At 40.5% G+C, this 23,583-nt stretch overlaps 1 protein-coding gene, 1 long non-coding RNA gene and 1 pseudogene across 5 annotated transcripts in view; 2 read left to right on the top strand and 1 right to left on the bottom strand.

Moving 5' to 3' along the window:
- Positions 1–23,583, bottom strand: part of CCDC170 (coiled-coil domain containing 170) — a 127,177-nt gene that overhangs the window by 4,103 nt on the left and 99,491 nt on the right. For all 4 annotated transcript variants that reach the window (NM_025059.4, XM_047419372.1, XM_011536148.3 and 1 more), the window contains 2 exons: positions 20,514–20,756; positions 1,412–1,648 (listed from right to left, as the gene is read on the bottom strand). In NM_025059.4, coding sequence (NP_079335.2) covers positions 1,412–1,648; positions 20,514–20,756 — 480 coding nt within the window. The remainder of the gene's footprint in view (positions 1–1,411; positions 1,649–20,513; positions 20,757–23,583) is intronic.
- LOC107986528 (uncharacterized) lies at positions 266–6,634 on the top strand. Its single transcript, XR_001743865.2, has 2 exons — positions 266–370; positions 5,819–6,634. It is a non-coding gene; the product is annotated as an uncharacterized LOC107986528 (long non-coding RNA).
- On the top strand, positions 1,212–1,318 carry RNU6-813P (RNA, U6 small nuclear 813, pseudogene; annotated as a pseudogene).

The following is a 23,583-nucleotide window of genomic DNA, read 5'->3' as shown; positions in this document are numbered from 1 at the left end:
ATCCAAGAGAATGCCACCCAAACAGTCCCACCCCAGGCTCATTTGCTCTGCAACCCGCTTCCCTTGCAGAGTCCAATTTGGGAATGGTTTTTAGCTATTACAGTTTGAATTTTATGACCCCTCAAAATTCTTATGTTGAAATCTAATGACCAATGTGAAGCTATTAGGAGGTGGGGCCTTTGGTGGGTGATTAGATCATGAGGGTGGAGCCCTCATGAATAAGATTAGTGCCCTTATAAAAGAGGCCCCGGAGAGCTGCCTTGCTCCTTCCACCATGTGAGGACACAGCAAGAAGGGGCTGACTCTGAACCAGGAAGCTGTGCTGTGCTCACCAGACACTTTGATCTTGGACTTCTCAGCCTCCAGAACTGTGAGAAAGAGATTTCTATTATTTATAAGCCACCCAGTAGATGGTACTTTGTTACAGCAGCCTGAAAGGACTAAGACACCGACCTAGTCTCCCTGATGAAAAAGTTTCTCTCAGACTTCTACCCTTTCCAATGTGGCCAAAGCTTTTCATTCCGAAGAAGTTTCCTTTCTGAGAACGCTCATTGTGTCGTTTGGCTTTCCCCGTCTCTGCTTGACACATGAACCAAAACAGAGGCAGCCAAAGCAGGGAAAAAAAAATCCTAGGATCAGAGTCCACTCTATGCCCTTTTGAGCTTCAAAAGGAGAAAGAGACAAAAGCCAAAAGCAATGGAGGTCAAGCTGCCCGGTACATGTTTCTTTACGCCTGACCTCCTGATGGACTCACTAGATAAAATGCTCCTTCTTGTAGCCAGCAAGCAAATGAGTACTTTTTTATGGCTTACATCTGTGCCTGGTCGGCCATCAAGTCTGGGTGCCACTGTTTGAGATTTGGGGCTGTTTCCTGCAACTGATCTCTGCTACAGATAAGGCTTCCCTCCTGAGGCCAAAGCCCTGGTTAACGTTAAGAGCTCTATGATGATGCAAACTTCAGAGGCGATCACCTAACATAACAAAAACCTCCCCAGAACCAGAACCTGTTTTTTCACCAAAACCCTTCCGCTGCTTGAATAAGAATGTCTTTTCCTTTCCTACAATTTGTGCCATGGAAATGTGAATAATTTTTCTTAGCGGGGTAAATCATAGTGGTTACTTGAATGCCAAAAAGATGCTGGAGGGGCAGGTGGATATGTTGAAAAGATATAGAAAGCTTTGTAAATTGCTTTTGAATAAATATGTGACTAGTTCTCGCTTCGGGAGCACATGTGTTAACATTGGAACGATACAGAGAAAATTAGCACGGCCCTCGTAAAACGATGACATACAAATTCATGAAACAGTCCAAACTTTTTTAAAAAGAAATGCATGAATAAGTATTAATATCAAGCTCTTGAATTGTCCTGTCATTTCCTAAACAAGGTTTCATCACCAGATTTAGACCCACCTGCTTTTCTCTCTTTTCTGCTTCTTCCAGAGATTTTTTTAGTGTCTTCATTTCACTGGTTACCACTTCTATCATGTTTCTGGCCCTTTCTTTATTCTCCTTAGCCTCATGTTCTGTGGTATCCAGTTCTGACTTGACAGACATGAGCTTTTTCTCAGCTTTCTCCTTCATCTTCTCCAGTTGGTCTCTGGATTTGTTTAGATCTTCAATGGCTTTAGTCTGTTCCAAAGTTTTAATCTAGAAAGTCAAGAGAATGCTGATAACTCCTTTTGTATTTAGTTAGGAAAACTGTATAAACATGACAAATCAGAAGTCAATGGAATTCACTTCATACCCTTTTTATGAATAAAGAATGGAGTTCATCCCAAACAGTTAGAGATTTTGCTAAGCATATGTGCTGGACAAACATGTCTTAAGACAGTTACAGCTAAAAACAACACATTAGAGTACCCTTATTTGAAAAATCAATGAGATAAAACTGTAGACAGCATAATTCTGGGGTCAGATTTTAAAATTAAGCCTGCTGGTATGTGCACACACACTCTATGAGGTCCATAAGCAAAAGCACCTTCAACTTTCTGCCCTGACCAATGGGACATTGCTGGTATATAAACATTAGGAAGAGCAAAATGTCCCCTCTTCTAATGCTGTATCCCATGAGAGCCCCACCTTAAATCCACCTCAGCAAGTCTTCACAACTGCTGTGAGGAAAATATAGATGGGCAGTTTTTCAGAAGCGTCTTCTAACTTTACCAGTGAGTCTGGGAGGTGAACAGCTGCAACTGTGGGGAGGAGTGGTGTCTTCCTCTGAGAAGCTGTCCCAAGATCTTAAAGCCAAAACACACAGTATGCTGGAGGGTGAGGCACATTCTCCGTATTAGCTTATTACTTAAGATTAGGCCAGAGTTACTTACAAAAAGAATTTAAGGCCAGATGTGGTGGCTCATGCCTATTATCCCAGCCGGCCAGATCACCTGAGGTCAGGAGTTCGAGATCAGCCTGGCCAACATGGTGAAACACCATCTCTACTAACAAAAAAAAAAAAAAAAATACAAAAGTTAGCCAGCCATGGTGGCAGGCACCTGTAATCCCAGCTACTCGGGAGGCTGAGGCAGGAGAATTGCTTGAACCCAGGAGGCAGAGGTTGCAGTGAGTCAAGATTGCGCCATTGCACTCCAGCCTGGGCAACAGAGCGAGACTCAGTCTCAAGAAAAAAAAAATGAATGAAATTCTGACACATACTACAACTACAACATGGATGAGCCTTGAAAACATCCTAAGTAAAATAAGCCAGACACAAAAGGACTAATATTTTATAATTCCACTTATATGAAGTACGTAGAATAGGCTAATTCATAGGAATTGTATGTAAGATAGAAGTCACCAGGGGCTGGGGAAGAGGAGAAATGAGAGCTATTGTCTGATGGGCACAAAGTTTCAGTCTGAGATGATAGAAAAATTCTAGATGTGGATAGTGATAATGGTTGCACAACACTGTGAATGTACTTAACACCATGGAATTGTACACTTAATAATGGGTAAAATGATATATATTATGTTATTTTTATTTTACCACAATAAAAAAAAGAATTTGAAGCAACTTCACACAGACACAAATTGTTTTCACTGATCATTAAAAATATCAAAGGATGGCTAAAATAAAAAAGACAGACAATCACAAGTGTTAGCAAGGATGTGAGGAAGCTAGAACTCTCATACACTACTGGTAGGTATGTAAAATGATGTGGCTACTGTGGAAAATAGTTTGCCAGTTTTTAAAATATTAAACATAGAATTACCACATGACCCAGCAATTCCATTCCTAGGCGTATGGGCAAGAGAACTGAAAACTTATGCCCACACAGAAACTGTACACAAATGTTCATAGAAGCATTATTCGTAATCACCAAAAAGTAGAAACAACCCAAATGCCATCAGCTGGCAAATGGAAAAACAAAATGTGGTATAGCCATACAATGGAATATCATTCAGCAGTAAAAAAGAATAGAGTACTGGGACATGCTACCACATAGGTAAACCTTGAAAACATCATGCTAAGGGAAAGAAGCCAATTGCAAAAAAACACATATTCTATTATCCCATTTATATGAAAGATCCAGAAAAGGCCAGGGGCTAGTAGGAGGACAGAATGGGGAGCAACCACTTATGGGTACAGGGTTTCTCTTGGAGGGGATGAAAATGTTTTGAAATATGATAGTGGTGCCATTTGCTATATATGTGCATATACTAAAAATCACTAAATTGTACACTTTTTTTGAGACAGGGTCTTGCTCTGTCACCCAGGCTGGAGTGCAGTGGCACAATCTCAGCTCACCGCAACCTCTGCTTTCTGGTTTCGAGCAATTCTTGTGCCTCAGCTTCCCCAGTAGCTGGGATTACAGGTGTGCGCCACCATGCCCGCTAATTTTTGTATTTTTAGTAGAGATATGGTATTGCCATGCTGGCCAGGCTGGTCTTGGACCCCTGGCCTCAAGTGATCCTCTCGCCTCAGCCTCCCAAACTGTTGGGAATACAGTGCACCCAGCCTAAATTGTACACTTTTAAAAAGTGAATTTTATGGTATATCAACTGTATCTTAATAAAACTCTTATTTGAAAGTGCATTTACAAGGAAGCTCTTTAAAAGGATCAAAATAAATTAACCTGAAATAAATAAATAAACATATCAGTAAGGAATGAATAGACAAAGAGCAAACAAAGCAAACAAAGACCAGTACAGCTCTGAATTTAGTCTTGCGCTTCCTGACAATTGAGGTAAACTGTTCAGGTATATTCTCAAAGAAAAAGCATTATTTTGTGTTTTCGTTTTGTGGTTAGATCATTAAAAAAAAACAAGTAAGAAAGTAACAGAATAAAAGACACCAAATAATAAGTATTTGCTGTTTTCTTCCTTCCCTCCCATCCCTTCTTTCCTAAGAAGAAAAGATGTTTTCTTGATGCATCTATTTTTATCTAATTGCTTCTAGGGTAGAATTTGGGTAAAGGGGGAGATTGTCAGGAAGGAAGCAAGCCAGGGAGGCTAAACTGACCTACACGGTAAACAGCTGAGAGAGAAGTGGGGAGAAAAATGAAGTCTATGCTAACTAGGCTGCAGGAAAGCCTTCCTGACGAAACCTAGAATCATGCAAGAGGGAACTGTGAGAAGGCATTGGTGTTGTGCAGCAATGTAATGAGAGAGAAAGGGGAATGAGAATGTTGCTGCCCCAATGAATGAATTTCTTTGTATTTTTTTACTGATGATAATAAAACAAACAACTGTTATTTAGTTGCTCGATTCCTGATTATGTATTGCTGAAGGGCTTTGAGATGACTATGACTTACGTTGATGACATGTGGAGACTACTGTCAGAGATTGAAATCTCTCCCTACGGTTGGGCATAGAGTGCATCTTCACTGTGGCTGAGCATCTGAATAATGGCACAAGTGAGCCTGTTCTACACTCTGAAGGCTCTCACTATCCCACTAGAAAGTCTGAGGAATGGGAGCAACTGTTCTAAGATTAGGACATGATCTAGAGGAGATGTGACTGCTTGGGATATAGATGTCCAGATGGAAAAAATCAGATTTATTTATACCATTTTGTGTGATATCACTAAATTGAGGAATCCAGAGTCAAATATCTGCTGAACTCATAAACTAGAAACCAGTTTTGGCCAGGCGCAGTGGCTCATACCTGTAATCCCAGCACTTTGGGAGAACAAGGCGGGTGGATCACGAGGTCAGGAGTTCGAGACCAGCCTGGCCAAGATAGTGAAACCCCATCTCTATTAAAAATGCAAAAATTAGCTGGTTGTGGTGGCGGGGGCCTGTACTCCCGGCTACTCAGGAGGCTGAGGCAGGAGAATCACTTGAACCCAGGAGGTGGAAGTTGCAGTGAGCAGAGACCACACCATTCACTCCAGCCTGGGTGACAAGAGTGAGACTCCGTCGCAAAAAAACAAAAACAAAAACAGTTTTTACCTACTATAACCCATAGAACTTCTTAAGGCACAAAACTTCTTTTGCTACAGTCTGAATGTTTGTGTCCTCCTAAATTCATATGTTGAAATTCTAACCTCCACAATGATGATATTAAGAAGTGGGACCTCTGGAAGTTGCTTAGGTTATGAAGGCAGAGCCATCTTGAATGGGATTAGTGCTCTTATAGAAGAGGCCCCAGAGAGCTGCCTCACCCCTTCTACCATGTGAAGACACAGCAAGAAGGCATCATCTATGAACAAGGAAGCATGCTCTCACCAGACATCAAATCTGCTGGCACCTTGATTTTTAACTTCCCAGCCTCTAGAACTGTAAGAAATTTCTGTTGCTTATAAGCCATCCCGTTTATGGTATTTTGTTATGGCAGCCTTAATAGACTAAGATAACTTTCTTTCTTTTTTTTTTTCAGATGGGGTTCTGCTCTTGTCACCCAGACTGGAGTGAAGTGGCACAATCTCGGCTCACTGCAACCTCCGCCTCCCGGGTTCAAGCGATTCCCCTGCCTCAGCCTCCAGAGTAGCTGGACTGCAGGCGCACGCCACCACTCCTGGCTAATTTTTGTATTTTTAGTAGAGACGGGGTTTCACCATGTTGGCCAAGATGTTCTTGATCTTCTCACCTTGTGATCCGCCCACCTCAACCTCCCAAAGTGCTGAGAGACTAAGACACCTTTCTAGACAGAGAGGAGGCCGATGGCAGACATTCTCAGATAGGTTTGTAGCTATTGACCTGGCTGCATCAAAGGAGATGAAATCCCTTAGAAATTGACAGCTTCTATGAAATTTACAATCAAGAAGGCATAAGAACAACTGCTGCAGCTTCAGAACTATGCAGAAAATAAAATGTCAACAGCTGGGAGAAAAAATTCTAAGTGAGCAACAGAGCCAGTGAAAAATATCACCAGTAGAGCAGGCACCTGAGACAGGGAAATGGCACCCACTAAGTGCAGGTCTACAGGGGCTGACCTTGCAGACCATTTATGGATCCCAAGTTACCAAAACCCTTATTTGATTATGAACTGCATAGTAGATACCAATACATCAGAGCATTGTCTCAATGTTAATATCTATCTGTGCTGATTGTATTGTGGTCATGTAACAGAATGAATGCCCTTGTTCTTAAGTGATACGTGGGAAAATATTTGAGGGGTGAAGTGTCATGATGTTTGCTACTTACTCTCACATGCTTTGGCAAAAATAAAACATCTCTCTCTCTCCAGGCAAAATATAGTAATCAGTAAAATATTAACAATCTGTGTGAAGGGTAAAAGAGTATCCATTATACTATTCCTGCCATTTTCTACAGCTTAGACATTTTTCAAAACAATTAAATATTTTCAAAACAAGAAGTTGGGAAAGGGAAGTATTGATCATGGATCATACTAGTAGAATTTTTTTGATATATATGTATACATAATTATAAGTTACATAAGCATATTGCTCAAAATAATATATTCTGTAGACCATTAAACATTTTATAAAATGGGGACATTACATTGATTAAGTAAATATCAATGTTTAAAACAAAGTGATCTCCCTTTAAAACAAAGAGATTCCTTTCACTTACAAACTATCTCACTGCTACAAAGAAAATATGTGGCAAATGGTAAATTGCTGGGATTGGTATGTTGAATTTTAAACCTTGTATTTATAAAAGAACAGATACATTCAGCCTGTCTGTTCAGATTGGGAAAACATTTACAGTGGGCTATCTACCAAAGGTGATGGAACACAGCTTGGAGGTCTAGAAGCTCATGAATCAAGTCCTAATGAGAAGAATTTGTTGCCAAGAATCTCTAAAAAATATGAGACTTTATCAGAATCCTCAGGGCTGCCTCAATCTTTGTTCCCAGGAAGCAAGAACAAGTAATGGAGCTCCGAGCCAAGCCACCAGGGCAGAACAGGGAGCCAATAGTGGTGAAGAAAGCCTCAAACCCAGCAACAGATTCCTGAGAGTGGAATGGGACTAAGTCGGTTTCTTAATCTTCCTAAGGGAACTCCTCAGACCCAGCTCAGAGTTCAGCGAGAGACTGTGCCCCTAATTTTCTTCCAGTGGGACAGAACTGGTCATAAACAAGATTGATGTGCCACTCAGACTCTAGCAAGGGCAGAGAAGGTTCCAAGTGTGCTTTGCTGTCATAAACACTGTATCTACTGTCTGCTTCCTTAAAGAAAAGAATTTTAAAATCTGGTGAACAATTCTCTCATGTTATAAGGGCCAAAGACCCAGAAAGGGAAGATGATCAAATTTAAATTTTGGTGTGTTGGCTCCCTGAGAGGATCTAAATTCTCCAGCTGGAAGGTTTCAGGAAGCTGCATTGAAAACACCACCCAGTAGGAGCCAGGAAGTGAACTCAGGCTCTCTGAATGGGATAGGACAGCAAAGTGGGAGATTCTTTTGATGGCCCGAATAGATGCTGTGTCCCTCTTTGAAAAGGACACAAAAACTTAACTAAGTAGCAAACATCATCAAGATGGCTAACTAAAGGCAACCAACACTCATCTCTACCCCAAAGAAGGACCAAAACAACAAATAACCACACATCAAACAGTGTCTAGGGAGGAACACTGGAATTCAGCAAGGAAGTGACAAAGACCTTCTGAGATGCAAAAACTCAGGAAGGCAGCATAGAAAGGAAAGCAAAGCAGTCAGCCAGGATCAGCTTGGAGCAAAGAGAGACTTCCCACTGAAGGAAAAAGGTAAGTGGGAGATCCCTAACAGTCCACAGTCATATCATGGACACCTATAAAGTTAGCTACAGGAGACCACAGCCCTTACAGGACACAAGCGCAGTATAATGAGCTGCCTGGAGTCCATGTGACCTCATTATTCCAGAGAGGAAATTTATGCTGAGGCAAACTCACTTCCTGAGACTGAAAGTGCATGCTCCCCAGAGCCTGACAGCCACCTACTCATGGCCTTCTGCCATGACCACTGGCAGTCTGACCCCACTTCCAGTGGTGGGACCACCTCATCTCTGCATGTGTCACCAGAGGCCCAAGGAACAGCCTGCCATGCATCTCCATCCCCAGCAAAGCCACACCACAGCCTCCACAAAACACCACACCCTAGGCCACTGAAGTACTCACAGATACTGCTAACATTGATTACAGCTAAAGAAATCATACAGAGACTACACAACGGTACCCTCCCAGAACCAAAGCCAAAACACCCTACCCAATCAACAATATAGGCCATATCTACAGGAAAAAGTCTTTCCCTACAAAAGCGGTTTCATAAAATTGGAAGAAGTGTTTGTTTCAACAGATGTACAGATACAAATGTAGGGACACAAGACACATGAAAAAAGCAAGTACACCTCCACAGGAACACAATAAAACTTCAGTAACAAATCCCAAAGAAAAGGACCTCTATGAAATGCTTGACAAAGAATTCAAATCATGATCTTAAGGAAACTCAATGAAATAAAAGAGATAATTCAATGAAATAAGAAAAAATCATGATCTGAATAAGAAAGTCAGCAAAGAAATAAATATAAGAAAAAGAACCAAGGTTAAGTCTTGGAACTGAAGAATTCAATTAATAAAATTAAAAACATTATTGAGAGCTTCAACAATAGACTAGATCATGCAGAAGAAATAATTTCTAAACCTGAAAACAGGTCTCTTGAAATAACCCAGTCCAAAAAAGAAAAAATAATGAAGAAAGTCTATGTGGCATAGGTACACCATTAAGTGAACAAATATTTGCATTACTGGAAGTTACAGAAGGAAAAGGGATGGAAAACACATTAAAATCCTATTCAATGAAATACTAGTTGAAAATGTCCCAAGTCTTGTGAGAGATATAGACAGACAGAGACAGGAAGCTCAAAGATCCCCAAACAGTTTCAACCCAAAAAACCTCTCTCAGGCACATTATAGTCTAAAAGTCAAAAGTCAAAGACAAAAAGAGAATTCTAAAAACAGCAAAAGAAAAGCATAAAGTCACATATAAGTGAACTTCCATCAGATTAACAGTGGATTTCTCAAGAGAAACCTTACAGGTTAGGAGAGAATGGGATTCAAAGTGCTAAAAGGGAAAAAAAAAATGCCTATCAACAATACACAGCCAACAAAGTTATTCTTTTTCCCAGACAAGCAAAAACTGAGGGAACTCAACACCCTTAGACAAGCGCAAGAAGAAATGTTTGAGTCCTACATCTAGAAGCAAAAAGATATTTACCAGAATGAAAACACATGAAAGTTAAAACTCACTATTAAAGCAGATACACAAATGGGAAAGAGAAAGGAATCAAATGTTATCACTACAAAAATCACCAAACTGCAAACTGCGAAGATAAACAATAAGAGAGGAAAAAAGGAACAAATGATATATTAAAAACCAGAAAACAATTACCAAAATGAAAGGAGTAAGTCCTCACTTATGAATAACAACCTTGAATGTAAATAGTTTAAATTCCTCAATTAAAAAATATAGACTGAAAATACATTTCTCTCCAAGGTCAACCCCCGTAGACCCACACTTAGTAGGGGATATTTTTCTGTCTCAAATGCCTGCTCTACTGATGCCACCACAAACAAACAACAAAATGGCAATAACAAGATCTTACTTATCAGTAATAACATTGAATGTAAATGGTCTAAGCTCTCCAATTAGTGGCTAAATGGATTTTTTTTAAAAACTCAACTATATGCTGCCTATAAGAAATCAACTTCACCTGTAAAGACACATAGACTGAATGTGAACAGATAGAAAAAGATAATTTCAGCAAACAAAAGCCAAAATCAAGCAGAACTAGCTATACTTAGAAAACAAGCTAAATTTTAAGTAAGAAAAAGATGAAAAAGGTGATTATATAATGATGAAAAGAACAATTCAATAAGAGGATATAACAATTGTAAATATATATGTATCCAACACACCCAGATACATAAAGCAAATATTGTTAGAGATAACAAGAGAGATAAATTCCATTATAATAATAGTTGAGGACTTCAACACCTCACACTCAGTATTGCACAGATCCTGTAGACAGAAAAATCAACAAAGAATTCTTGGACATAAACTATACTATGGAACAATTTGACCTAATTAACATTTACAGAATATTTCATTCAACTACTGCAGAATACATGCTCTTCTCATCAGCACATGGAATATTCTCCATGATAAACCATACGTTAGACACAAAACAAGTCTCAACGAATTTTTTAAAATAGAAATCATACCAAGTATCTTTTTAGACCACAGTGGACTAAAATTAGAAATCAATCACAAGAGAAACTTTGGAAATTCTACAAATACATGGAAATTAAACAACATGCACCTGAATGACAAATGGAGTCAAGGAAGAAATTAAGAAGAAAATCCAAAAAATTCTTGAAACAAATGAAAATAGAAGCACAACATATTAAAACCCGTGAAATACAGCAAAAGCAGTACTAAGAGAAAAGTTTATAGCAATAATGCCTACATCAAAATGATAAAAAGGTTTTTGTTTTCAAAATGGTGGCATAGGCCAGGTGCAGTGGCTCACGCCTGTAATCCCAACAGCTTGGGCAGCACAGGTGGGTGGATCACCTGAAGTCAGGAGTTCGAGACCATGCTGGCCAAAATGCTGAAACCCCGTCTCTACTAAAAATACAAAAGTTAGCCAGGCGTAATGGCACGTACCTGTAATCCCAGCTACTTGGGTGGCTGAGTAAGAAGAATTGCTTGAACCCGGGAGGCAGAGGTTGCAGTGAGCTGAGATCACGCCATTGCACTCCAGCCTGGACAACAGAGTAAGACTCTGTCTCAAAAAAAAAAAAAAAAATGGCGGCATAGAAGCAAGCTGGTGGCACTGTCCCCCGGAACCCCAAGATATACAAAAACAAAAACAAATACACAGCACCAAGATTATCACCAGCAATAGCCCAGAACTCAAATATAAAGATGAGACAGTTCCTGGAGCCAGAGAGAAGTGAAAAAACTCTAAACAGAGAGTAAGAAAATCAGACTTCCATAGCCACAATGCCCCTCCCCTCAACCTTCCCAGCACCACAAGTGCAGAAAACCTCCCCAGACTCATGGTTTCTACAATGGAAAAAGTAAGATCAAGGTGAACAACCAACTTCCCCAACATCTTAAGTTCCCTGGTAAGAGGACAGTTTCTGCCTCAACCCACAGAAAGCAGCTACTTTGAGTGCCTGAAGGGAAAAATATATCAGAGGACAGCCAGAGACAAACAGGGGAGACAGCTCTTTAACCTGACTGAAGGAAATGCCAAATCAGAATGGCATCTGTTCAGCAGGACCACACTGTAGGAGGTATGTTCCATACATCTCCTGGGCATGAACCCTTGCTAGCCTCCCACACTGCCAGAATATCCCCTTTGCGACATTTCCCATTTGGGATAGGCAATGCTCCAATCATTGACTAGAGCTGAGGCAAACACAGGCTTGAGGCATCCTCAATCCATGTATCAATACTATTCTACCATAATAAAGCATGAAATCCTGTCATTCACAGCAACATGGATGAGTCTAGAGGACATTATGTAAAGTGAAATAAGCCAGGTACAGAAAGATAAATACCACATATTCTCACTCATATGTAAAAGCTAAAAAAGTTGAGTGCATAGATGCAGAGAGTAGAATTGTGGTTATTAGAGGCTGGGAAGGGTGGGGGCAGGGCACAGGAAAAGGTTGGTTAATGGATACAGAATTACAGCTGGATAGAAGGAATAAGTTTTAGCGTTCTAAAGCACTATAGGGTGATTCTAGTTAACAACAATTTATTGTACGTTTTCAAATAGCTAGAAGAGAAGATTTTGAATGTTTCCAACTAAAATAAATGATAAAATATTTGAGGTGATGGATACACTAATTACCTTGATTTGTTCATTATCCATTGTATACATGCATCAAAATATCACTCTGTATCCCAAAAATATGTACAGTTGTTATGTGAAACTAAAAATGAAAGAAAAAGGTGTAACTAAGCAGGAATGTAGCAGAAATCAAAGATGAATGTTCAGATTTGCAGTCTGGGCTCACTTCCCCTCCTTCCCTACCGTAAGAGCACGTGTCGAAATCAGGGCAATTAGCATTATCCATCGCCTCAAACATTTACCATTTCTTTGTGTTGGAAACATTCAAAATCCTCTTTTCTAGCTATTCGAAGATATACAATAAAGTATTGTTAACTATAGTCATCCTACAGTGTTATAGAACACTAAAACCTATTCCTCCTATCCAGCTGTAATGTTGTAGCCATTAACCAACACACCTTTCTCAGCTCCTAATAAGGACACACCCCTCCACTCCTTCACCATCTGACCCCCAGGAGCATGCCTCTTGCTGGAGATCTGCTTGCTGTATACGTTCAGAAGTGGGAAAAGCTCAAAGCAGTCCCAGAAATCCAATGGATCTACATCATCGGAGCTGAGTATGAGATGGGAGCTCAGGGGAAAAAAATTAAGAAAGGCTATACTCGTTGGGTTGGAGAAAGTTCTGGAGTGGGGAAGGAATGTGGGGAGAGGCTGTCTTGTGTGGGAGATATAAAGAGAGTTAGAAAGTGGGAGAGAACTTCACAGGTGGCTGAAGAATGTTAATCCCTTTTGGTGTTTCCTTGAAAGAGTGCAATGAAGATAATGAGCTTTCCACTAGTTTTTGGTTGTCTGACTGCTGATCTTCGGCCATAGCTCCTTACTAAGGTTGGGCCACATGATATAGGCTGATAGCTGATGGCTCTCCACCAAATAGCTATTCTTACTTTATTTCTTACTGTACAGAATAAAGACCCATTTCTCAGACCGACTTCACTTAAATGAGGTCCAGGGACTAAGTTACTAAGTTCTGGCCAATGGAGACATAAGAAGTGTTGTATCATTCCTGGAAAGCAGCACACAGGGTGTCCTTCCACTGTCCCTCCTTCCTGATGACTAGAGTGAAGCTGGAGCCCCAGCAGCTAGCTTGGCCTAAAAGATGGCATTGAGGACTAAAGCTATTGCTAGGATACTGAAGCAGAAGGTTGAAAACTGAGGTCACCAGGTGCTTCTTTCCAGTGAGAAGGGAATAAATGCCTCTCCTCTCTAAGCCACTGATATCATGGGGTGTTTCAATATATTGAGCTGAAACTAATGATAACTGATGCAGGCCATAAAGCACCTAGCATGATATAAATTACACAAAGCACTTTCTTCATCTTCTGCCATTCTGCCCCATGATTTCAGTACTTGGCATTTGCATTTGTGTATAAGGCTATGTTTGTGCCAATTAGTAGTTATCCTGGGCTAATAAGAAAATGGTAAAGGCAGAGTTAATACATAAATAATGTGTTCATGCAAAGTGAAAGCCAAACTATGTCATGGCATAGGTACAAATAAAGTATCTGCAGTATTAAAATAAAACACATGGTACAATAACTCCTATACCCTTAGGGAAAACAAACTTTAAACATGCCAAACTCAAAAGATAATAAACTTTAAACATGCCAAACTCAAAAGATAATAAACTTTAAACATGCCAAACTCAAAAGAACTTGCATCATGAGCAGTTGGTACCACACATTCTTATTAATGGATGTATTAGTCCATTAATGGATAGTATATAGTCCATGCTATAAAGAAATACCCAGCTGGGCATGTTGTCTCACGCCTGTAATCCCAGCACTTTAGGAGGCCGAGGAGGGTGGATCACCTGAGGTCAGGAGTTCACGACCAGCCTGGCCAACATGGTGAAACCCCATCTCTACTAAAAATAAAAAAACTAGCCGGGCATGGTGGCACACGCCTGTAATCCCAGCAACTCAAGAGGCTGAAGCAGGAGAATCGCTTGAACCTGGGAGGTGGAGGTTGCAGTGAGCCGAGATTGTGCCATTGCACTCCAACCTGGGCAACAAGAGCGGAACTCCATCTCAAAAAAAAAAAAAAAGAAAGAAATATCTGAGACTGGGTAATTTATAACAGAAATAAATTTAATTGACTCACAGTTCTGCATCGCCGGGGAGACCTCAGGAAACTTACAATCATGGCAGAAGGGGAAGCAGGCATGTCTTACATGGTGGCAGGCAAGAGTGAGAGCATGTGAAGAAGGAACTGTCAAACACTTATAAAACAATCAGATCTCATGAGAACTCACTATCATGAGAACAGCAAGGGGAAAACCGCTCCTATGATCCAATCACCTCCCTCCCTCAATACATGGGGATTACAATTCAAGATGACATTTGGGTAGGGACACAGAGCCAAACCATATCAATGGTGATTTTAGTAAAATAATCTATCACATTGAATTAATATCCCTAATTTTTAAAATTCTATTTTATCCTTTGTTTTGATTTTTGAACTGATATGGATTTCATAATATTAAGAAACATAATAAGATTAAGAAATTTCTATGTAGTTTTAAGTTTGTATATTGTAAATATAATAAAATTATTTTAACTCAATACAGGTAGGGGAATTCGTGAAAAAACATTTTACTTGCAAAAAGGATTTCTATTATACTTATGTTTGCCTGCCAAATTAAAATGTAATAGTATCTGGAAAGGTCTACTTTTTCTTGGTCTAGAATTCAGGAGTAAATTTACAGCCTGGGTCTTAAAACAGAAGATTTATATAACCTAGGCATCAAGGTCTTCAATCATGGTTTTGAAACAGACATAGAAACGAGTACAAAAGCTTTGACCCAAATGTTCATAGCAGCCTTGTTCAGAATAGCCAAAAGTGGAAACAATCTAAATGCTCATCAAATGCTGAATGGACAACCAAAATGTGGTATATCCATACAATGAAATATTCCTCATCCATAAAAAGGAATTATGATGGTTAATTTTATGTATCAACTTGGCTGGGCAATCATGCCCAGATACTTGGTCAAATATTTAAATGGGTAGACTTTGCATAAAGCAGAGTGCCCTCCATAATGTGGGTAAGCTTCATCCAATCAGTTGAAGGCATAAGCAGCACAAGACAATGAGCTTCCCTCAACACAAGGATAATCTGCCAGTCTTCATATTTTTACTACAATATCAGCTCTACCTGGGTCTCCAGTCTGTCAGCCCATCCTGCTAGTCTCCATAATTGCATGAGCCAATTCTTTAAAATAAATCTCTCTATATAGATAGAGAGATGATTGATAGACCGATGTAGATATTTATATCTACATATATCTGTCTGTATACACACACAAACACACATACACACACACACACACGCACTGTTTTTCTGGAGAACACTGACCAATTGCTTCTGTTTTTCTGGAGAACACTGACCAATACAGGAATGAAGTACTGATCCATGGTACAACATGGGATGAACCTTGAAAATATTAAGTATACTCATACTAAGTAAAAGAAGTGATATGGTTTGGCTGTGTCACCACCCAAATGCCATCTTGAATTGTAGCTCCCATAATTCCCATATGTTGTGAGAGGGACCCAGTTGGAGATAACTGAATCATGGGGGTGGTATCCCCCAACTTTTCTCATGATAGTGAATAAGTTTTACAAGATCTGATGGTTTTATAAGGGAAAACCCCTGTCACTTGGCTCTCATTCTCTCTTGCCACCGCCATGTAAGAAGTGCCTTTAACCTTCTGCCATGATTATGAGGCCTTCCCAGCCATGTGGAACTGTAAATCCATTAAACCTCTTTCTTTTGGAAATTGCCCAGTCTCGGGTATGTCTTTATCAGCAGCAGGAAAACAGACTAATACAAAAAGCCAGAGACAAAGGCCACGTATTATATGGTTCCATTTATATACAATTTACAGAATGGACAAATTTATAAAGACAGAAAGATGACTGGTTACCAGAAGTTGAAGAAAGGGTAAATGAAGAATGACTGTGGATGGGTGTGGGATTTTGGGGGAGGATGTGGGAGGAGTGATGCAAAGTCCTGGTATTAGATAGCGGTGATGTTTGTACAACCTTGTCAATATACTAAAAACCATTCAATTATACACTTTAAAAAATAAACTTTATGGCATGTAAATATTTCTCATTTAAAAAAAAACCATAGAAATGTAATTCAAATTATTATTTTATATTGTCCCTCTAAGAGTGGTAAAATTGTTAATTTAATAAGTGTAGTGGTTTGAGTAGTGCCTTCCCAAAAGCTGTGTCCACCCAGAACCTCGGAATGTGACCTTATTTAGATAAGGGCCTTTGCAGGTAATGATTAAGGTAAGAGTCTCATGATGAGATCATTTTGAATTAGGATGGGCCCTAACACCAACAATGGGTGTCCTTATAAGAGACAGAAAAGAAGAGACACACAGGGGGAGGTCACGTGAAGGGGAGGCACAGATTGGAATTATGCAGCTATAAACCAAGGACTGTTAGCGGGATTGAGTATTAAGCCACCCAGTTTGTGGTAGTTGGGTAGCCCTAAGAAACTAATACAGTAAAGCTATTTTTGCTAATGTTCAGAAATATTGCTTTATGAATAGTGAAATTAATACAGGGACAAGCTTAAGGCAATGTACAATGGTGGATAGCTGATACCGGTAATCTGTCTTGGAAATTGATTTCAGAAGTCTGATATTTTGGATTTGTATCAAATACAAAACAAAAATCTATTCTGTATTTGATATCTCATAAATGCATGAAGTTGACACTTACTGTGTTAACAAGTTAGAGAGATCTCTGTTCTACACTGGAAGGAAGACTTAACATTCCTTTGAAATGTGTAGGGGCCCGAGTAATTCTTGAGTCAGTCAAACCAAGTCTCTCCTATACCTTTCCTATTATCTTATCTGTAAAAGTATGTGGATCTGTCTATTCAAAATAAGGCAACCAAGTAAATACGCAAGCCAACTTTATTTACTTTCCTAACTCTCTTCTTTTCATCCAAGTATCCCGGAAGGGTATTGCACTGTCTTTGTTTTCATTTCTCTTTCATCCCTGAAATCTGACTTATTCTCAGAACCCTCACCCACTACCACCATGATCCGCACATGCTTGACTCACAGATTTTCCAAAGCCAAGTATAGTGGACACTCCTTCAGTCATTATCGCACTGCTGTACTTGGTATAGTTGACCACAGCCTCATTCTGCTCTCTCTCTATCTCTCTCTCTGTTTCTTCTCAGTCTCGTTCCTGACAATTTTATCCTCCAATGGCTCCTCAGGACCCAGAGGATAAGTCCAAACATCTTAGTGTGACACATAAGGCTCCATGTGATCCAGCCCCTGTCCACTGCTCAGCTTCTTCCCCTCCCCAACTCCCAGACATTGTCAAGGCATCAGCAGCAGCCAACCAGACCTCCTATTCACCTATTATTGCATTGACTGTCACTCATCCTCATCCTCTACTCCAAACAACTGTTGTTTGATCAGAAGCAATGTTGTACCAAATACCATGACAGCACTAGGAGGTAATCTATGTTTATAAAGTCTTGGCAAAGACAGAAGACTGTTTGATTTTTCAGTCTGAGTTCAAGAAACACTGTACAGCTCTGATTTTGCCATATCCTTGTCTACATGAAAGCACCTCCCTATGGGTAAGAGAAATTCTTCAAAAGTGTTAGATCAGGTCTGCAAATTCTCCTTATTGTTCTCTAAAGCCCCAAATTTTGTTTCCTTTTCAAAGGTGTGCATCACACATTGGCTATAATGGTGAGGTTCCTTTTCCTATTTTGTTCAATGACATTCTCCAACTATTAGCTGTCTTACCACTGGTTTCCATTTCTTTAACTTTTCTTTTCTAGCTTCTTTGGAAGTGTCCAAAGGCCCTTTATTCTCTCTAACAAAGTAGTACTCCTGTATCCTTATAAGCAAAGATGTCAGAGGGGATGAGTGCCTCTGGCCTAGGGATGAACACCCGCACATCCTACAATCAGGAGCAGCTGGTGCAATGTCCCAGCCACATTAACTTTAGGATAATCTGCATAGTCCTTTGGATACAGGAAACAAACTCCCCACTACCGTCACCCCAAATGGTTAGAGCAGATGGTATTTGCAGCTAACTGCATTTCTTTGGGTTTAAAATTTGTTTTTATTCATACAATGCCATCTTTAGGGGATTCTTCTCTCCCCTCCTTCTTTCTGAGATGATAACTGGGTGGAGGAAAGTCCTTGTGATTTTAGAAAAAGTGATTCTGGCCCTCATGCTGCCCCTGAATCTCTCCTATATCTATTATTTGACTTGTGAAATTTGTGACGGTCTCTCACCAGAGTCAAGGCCACATCATTGGTCTCAGCTAATTCAAGGCTCGGCTGTAGCTGCTATTGGGCCACAGCCTAGGTGATGACCCCAGGGCCTCTGATGGAGGGTCACTTTGTCCCTCAGTTGAACCGAACACCCCCATCTGCTCCTGTAATGAGCTCTCCAGCTTGCGTTTCAGCTGTCATCCATATCCCTCACTAGTGAAAATGGAACTCCAGGCTCCAGGGAATTGAGGTGCAATCTAGGCCCCCAAGATTCATCACCATTTGCAGCCTCTTCCAGCCAGGATTAGAGCAGCTGATGCTATTCCACCCTATTCCAAATCCCCACTAAAGGTCAGTCTCAAGTTGCAAAGGGACTGTTGAGGGGATTTACCTCTGATATTTCCTCCCCACCCATGGCACCACCTCAGATGCTTTCCCTTGCTTCCCCCCTTCCTTGTATTCAGATGTGTCCTTCTCTGGGGGGTGCCCGTTCTCCCCTTCTCCAAGGAAGTACACTTCAACTTGGCAGTCTAGCCCCAATGGCAGAAGGGCTTCAGCAGGGAAAAGAAAACTACCCAGAAGGGAAACTACAGTGGAAAATATGTTCTAAAACATGGTCCCCACTACACATGTTCAAGGGCTGGCTTAATTCCAGATTCTTTTTCCCTGCTTGTCTGTTTCCAGATTCGGAAACCTTCCAAAAAGCAGTTTCAGAGCATTGTCTGCAAAGAGCCAGGATGTTATTGTCCACTGTACTTGCGATTTGCACACCTGCTGAGGATGATGTGTGCATATTAAGTTACATATTATTGCCAGTGGCACACATGCATGACACGTAAATCTTTTGATTAAATTCTTGTAAGTTTCCATTTCTTTTTGCTCTGCCTTCGTTAGAAGTTGAACACCTTGAATATAGGAACTGTCTCCCCAGTTCTGGTGACCTTCTCCACTGGACTTGGTAATGATGTATCCTACAGAGCACAACGTAAATACCCTTGCCTGCCTGACTCTTTTCAGCAAACAGTTGTGCCCATTTTCTCATTTCTTCCTAAGCAAATTCCAATGTGATTAATCCCTGCATCATCACTAATAGCAGTCACCAACACTTTGGAGAAATGTATTTCTTTTCTGGACTTAAAACATCACCACTTTTTGGCCAGGCGCAGTGGCTCACACTTGTAATCCCAGCACTTCAGGAGGCTGAGGCAGGTGGATCACTTGAGGTCAGAAGTTGGGGACCAGTCTGGCCAACATGGTGAAACCCTGTCTCTACTAAAAATACAAAAAAATTAGCATGGCATGGTGGTGCACACCTGTAATCCCAACTACTTGGGAGGCTGAAGCAGGAGAATCACTTGAACCCAGGCAGAGTTTGCAGTGAGTGAGTCAAGATCATGCCACTGCACTCTAGCCTGGACAACAGAGCGAGACTCAGTCTCGAAAAAATTTTTTATAAGGCCAGGCGCAGTGGCTCACGCCTGTAATCCCAGCACTTTGGGAGGCCAAGGCGGGCGGATCACCTGAGATCAGGAGTTCGAGACCAACCTGACCAACATGGAGAAACCCAATCTCCACTAAAAATACAAAATTAGCCAGGCGTGGTGGCGCATGCCTGTAATCCTGGCTACTCAGGAGGCTGAGGCAAGAGAATCGCTTGAACCCAGGAAGAGGAGGTTGTGGTGAGCCAAGATCACGTCATTGCACTCTAGCCTGGGCAACAAGAGCGAAACTCCTCCTCAAAAAAATTTTAAAAAAGGAAACATCACCACTTTTTGACTGACTTTTCACCTAGCAATGATGGCTTCACTTCAGATATTGAAGAGACACTGAATGGATATGTACCCTGATTTGTGTCATTTTTGCATTTTTCCCATAATTCTAGAAAATCAGAGGAGGCTTTCATCTTTCTTCTTCTGGCGTGTCCCGATAAAGCTGTCATTCTTTTGCATAAAACATTGACAGTAACCAGCAAAAAGCAACAACAAAATGAAGCCAAGCACTTGCCTTCAGTTCATTGGTGTCGGCCAGTTTGGCTTTGAGCTCGGTGTGCAAGTCTCGACACGTGTTCAGCTCTTTCTGCAGCCTCTCCACCTTCTTCTGCAAGTTCCTGATGGTAAGATGCGCGTTGTCCCTCTCAACCACCAAGGCCGTGCGTGCCTGCTTCTCCTCCTCCAGCTGGGCTATTTTCTGCCGGAGGAGGCTCATGTGTAATTCTTTGCTCTCCAGTCTCTCTTTCTGTGTCTTTAGCTGGTTTGATGCAAACAGGGATTTTTTTTTTAATAATTGAACAATAGTAAATATAAATGAGTTACCCAGATAATGTTGATCTCTATCTACACCTCAATAAGAGTAATTTGTAAACCATCAAAAAAGTCATTGGATTCCTTTTCCTGATTGCATTTTTTACTCATACCCTTTCCAAGAATTAATTGCATACCTAAAATCTGAGACAAAAGAGCCCCAGAAAATGTGCAGGAGTCAGCTTTCCACATCTGATGCTCTCTAACATTATGTGCATCATCATAAAAATGTAAAATTACTTTTAAAAAACTCCTCAGATGAGTTTATCAGAGCAGAATGTAATAAGACAGAGAGACAAAATCCTGTCCAACATCTAACGGCCACAATATCTGCACTGGCATTTTCTGAAATAAGATACAATGCAAGTGAGTACTGTAAACCTAGACTGGCTCATTTCAATCCCTTAGAACTGGAACACGTGGCCCCCAACATGAGAGTGGATATATATCAACTTTTTTTTTTGAGACAGGGTCTCATTCTATTGTGCAGGCTGGGGTGTAGTGGCATGATCACAGCTCACTGCAGCCTCTCCCTTTCAGGCTCAAGCAATCCTTCCACCTCTCAGCCGCCCAAGTAGCTGGGACTTGTGATGCATGCCACCACACCCAGCTGATTTTTGTATTTTTTTGTAAAGACAGGGTTTCATCATGTTGCCTTGGCTGGCCTTGAACTCCTGGGTTCAAGAGGTCCACCTGCCTCAGCCTCCAAAAGTGCTGGGATTACAGGTGTAAGCCACCACACCTGGCTGAGAGTTGATATATTTTTAAAGTAAGATATACCAAGGAGATTTTTAAGTAAGCTTTGCTTTAAAGCTTTGCTTATACATATAAAATCTTAGAAATAAAAGGGACTGTAAGAAGGTTTCTTGGTCTTTATTATATGTCTGGCCTGTAAGGTCCACAAACTAAGCAGAGGATAGCTCCTCAAACATCATTTATCATTGGTAACCAAACCTAAAAAAGGAAATTAGAGTGATATTTAAGAAAATGACTATGGACTCTAGAGGGGGAAGAAGCTTCCTAGGCTCCACATGTCACAATTAGTAGATGGAATATTAAGTACAGAAACCTCTGTCATCTGCTATAAACATCAGAATCAGAATCATATATTATCAAGTGTTCAAGCTGAAGACCATCAAAGTTCCCCTAATTATCTACTCTGCACTTGTAAAGTGGTAACAGGTGGAAAGACTTACTGAAATGCTGCTTTGAGTATCCTGCCTAACAGTGACAGCTGTGTCCATACCCAGATCATTTTTGAACAAGACCTTTTTAATATTTATCTAATCAAATTCCCTTTCTTAAGCTTCTTCATGTCAAATTCCACTCCAGGCTGGGCATGGTGGCTCATGCCTGTAATTCCAGCACTTTGGGAGGCCAAGGCGGGTGGATCACCTGAGGTCAGGAGTTCAAGACCAGCCTGACCAATATGGAGAAACCCTGTCTCTACTAAAAATACAAAATTAGCCAGGCATGGTTGCAGGTGCCTGTAATCCCAGATACTTGGGAGGCTGAGGCAGGAGAATCACCTGAACCCGGGAGGCAGAGGTTGCAGTGAGCCGAGATCGCACCATTGCACTCCAGCCTGGGCGACAAGAGTGAAACTCTGTCTCAAAAAAAAAAAAGAAAAGAAAAGAAAATTCCACTCCATTGCAATTTTACACTGGTAAATTCTATAAACTGGTAAGTTTAATAATTATATAATTATTAAGAAGTAATGGTGTTGGACACTGAGAAAAAGAATCAATTATCTGAGCAGAACTTTGGAAAGAATGGTAGCTGAATTTAATGTCTCTAATGGTAATAGGGTTTGTATGCTATCTTTTATAAAATATTCCTCAAGATATGGTAGTGGAGAAGAAGCCAAACATGAATACAGCATATTCTGTGAGCCAAGGGTTTGAAAATGTTATTTATTAAAAACTAACAACTCCTTGGGGTATATAGCATCCCCATCTTAAATATGAGGAAACAGAGACAGAGAGGTATATAATCTGTTCAAGGTCACACAGCTTGATGGAACCGAATTGGGAGCCCAGATGTGACTCATTATACAGCATCTACACTGGAATTGTATCATAGCATTTCTCTCCTAAGAACTATTATAAGAATACATCTGTGTTTTCCTATTTCTTTCCCCAATACCAATAATTATGTAACTAATAATTATATTTTATACCTTTCATCTATTCATTCATTGATTTAGTATAAACTGTTTCTAACTCTTCCTTTGAGTGAAGAAAAGTAAGCCCTTCTCTCTCTGCTAGAATTTCTAGTGCAGCTGAGTTTACAAATGCAGAGGCTGCTAAATGTCCCCCCAGTTCTCCTCTTCTCCCAAAGTAATAGAAACTGTGAATTTTTTTCTAGCTAGGTAAATGGCTACCCAGAGTAAAGCCTACATTTGCAAGCCTCCCTTGCAGCTAGGTTTGACCACCAAAACATATTCTGGCCATGGGATATAAACAAAAGTTCATGTAGCAAATTCTGAGTGCCTTTTTTAAAGATGCCTCTGCTTGTTCTTTTGCAGCCCTATTCCTCACTCCTTTCTTCTCTTCTATCTCAAACACAGATATATAATGGTTCTGGGCACCATTTGGAACCATGAGAATAAGGATCACCCTAGGGATGGGAAGTGAATCAGCTGAAATGAGCCTGGTTCCTTGAAGACTTTACAGAGGAGAGTTGCCACACCAGCCCCAAACTTCCTGTCTCCAGGAATTTGTGTGAGAAAAAACAAACAAACAACAACAACAAAAAACTTTTACTTGCTTAAG

The sequence above is a fragment of the Homo sapiens genome, chromosome 6 (assembly GCF_000001405.40).
Source record: "Homo sapiens chromosome 6, GRCh38.p14 Primary Assembly".
Classification (NCBI taxonomy): Eukaryota; Metazoa; Chordata; class Mammalia; order Primates; family Hominidae; genus Homo; species Homo sapiens.
Note: the sequence above shows the minus strand (reverse complement) of the source record. Positions and strands in the feature narration are given on the sequence as shown.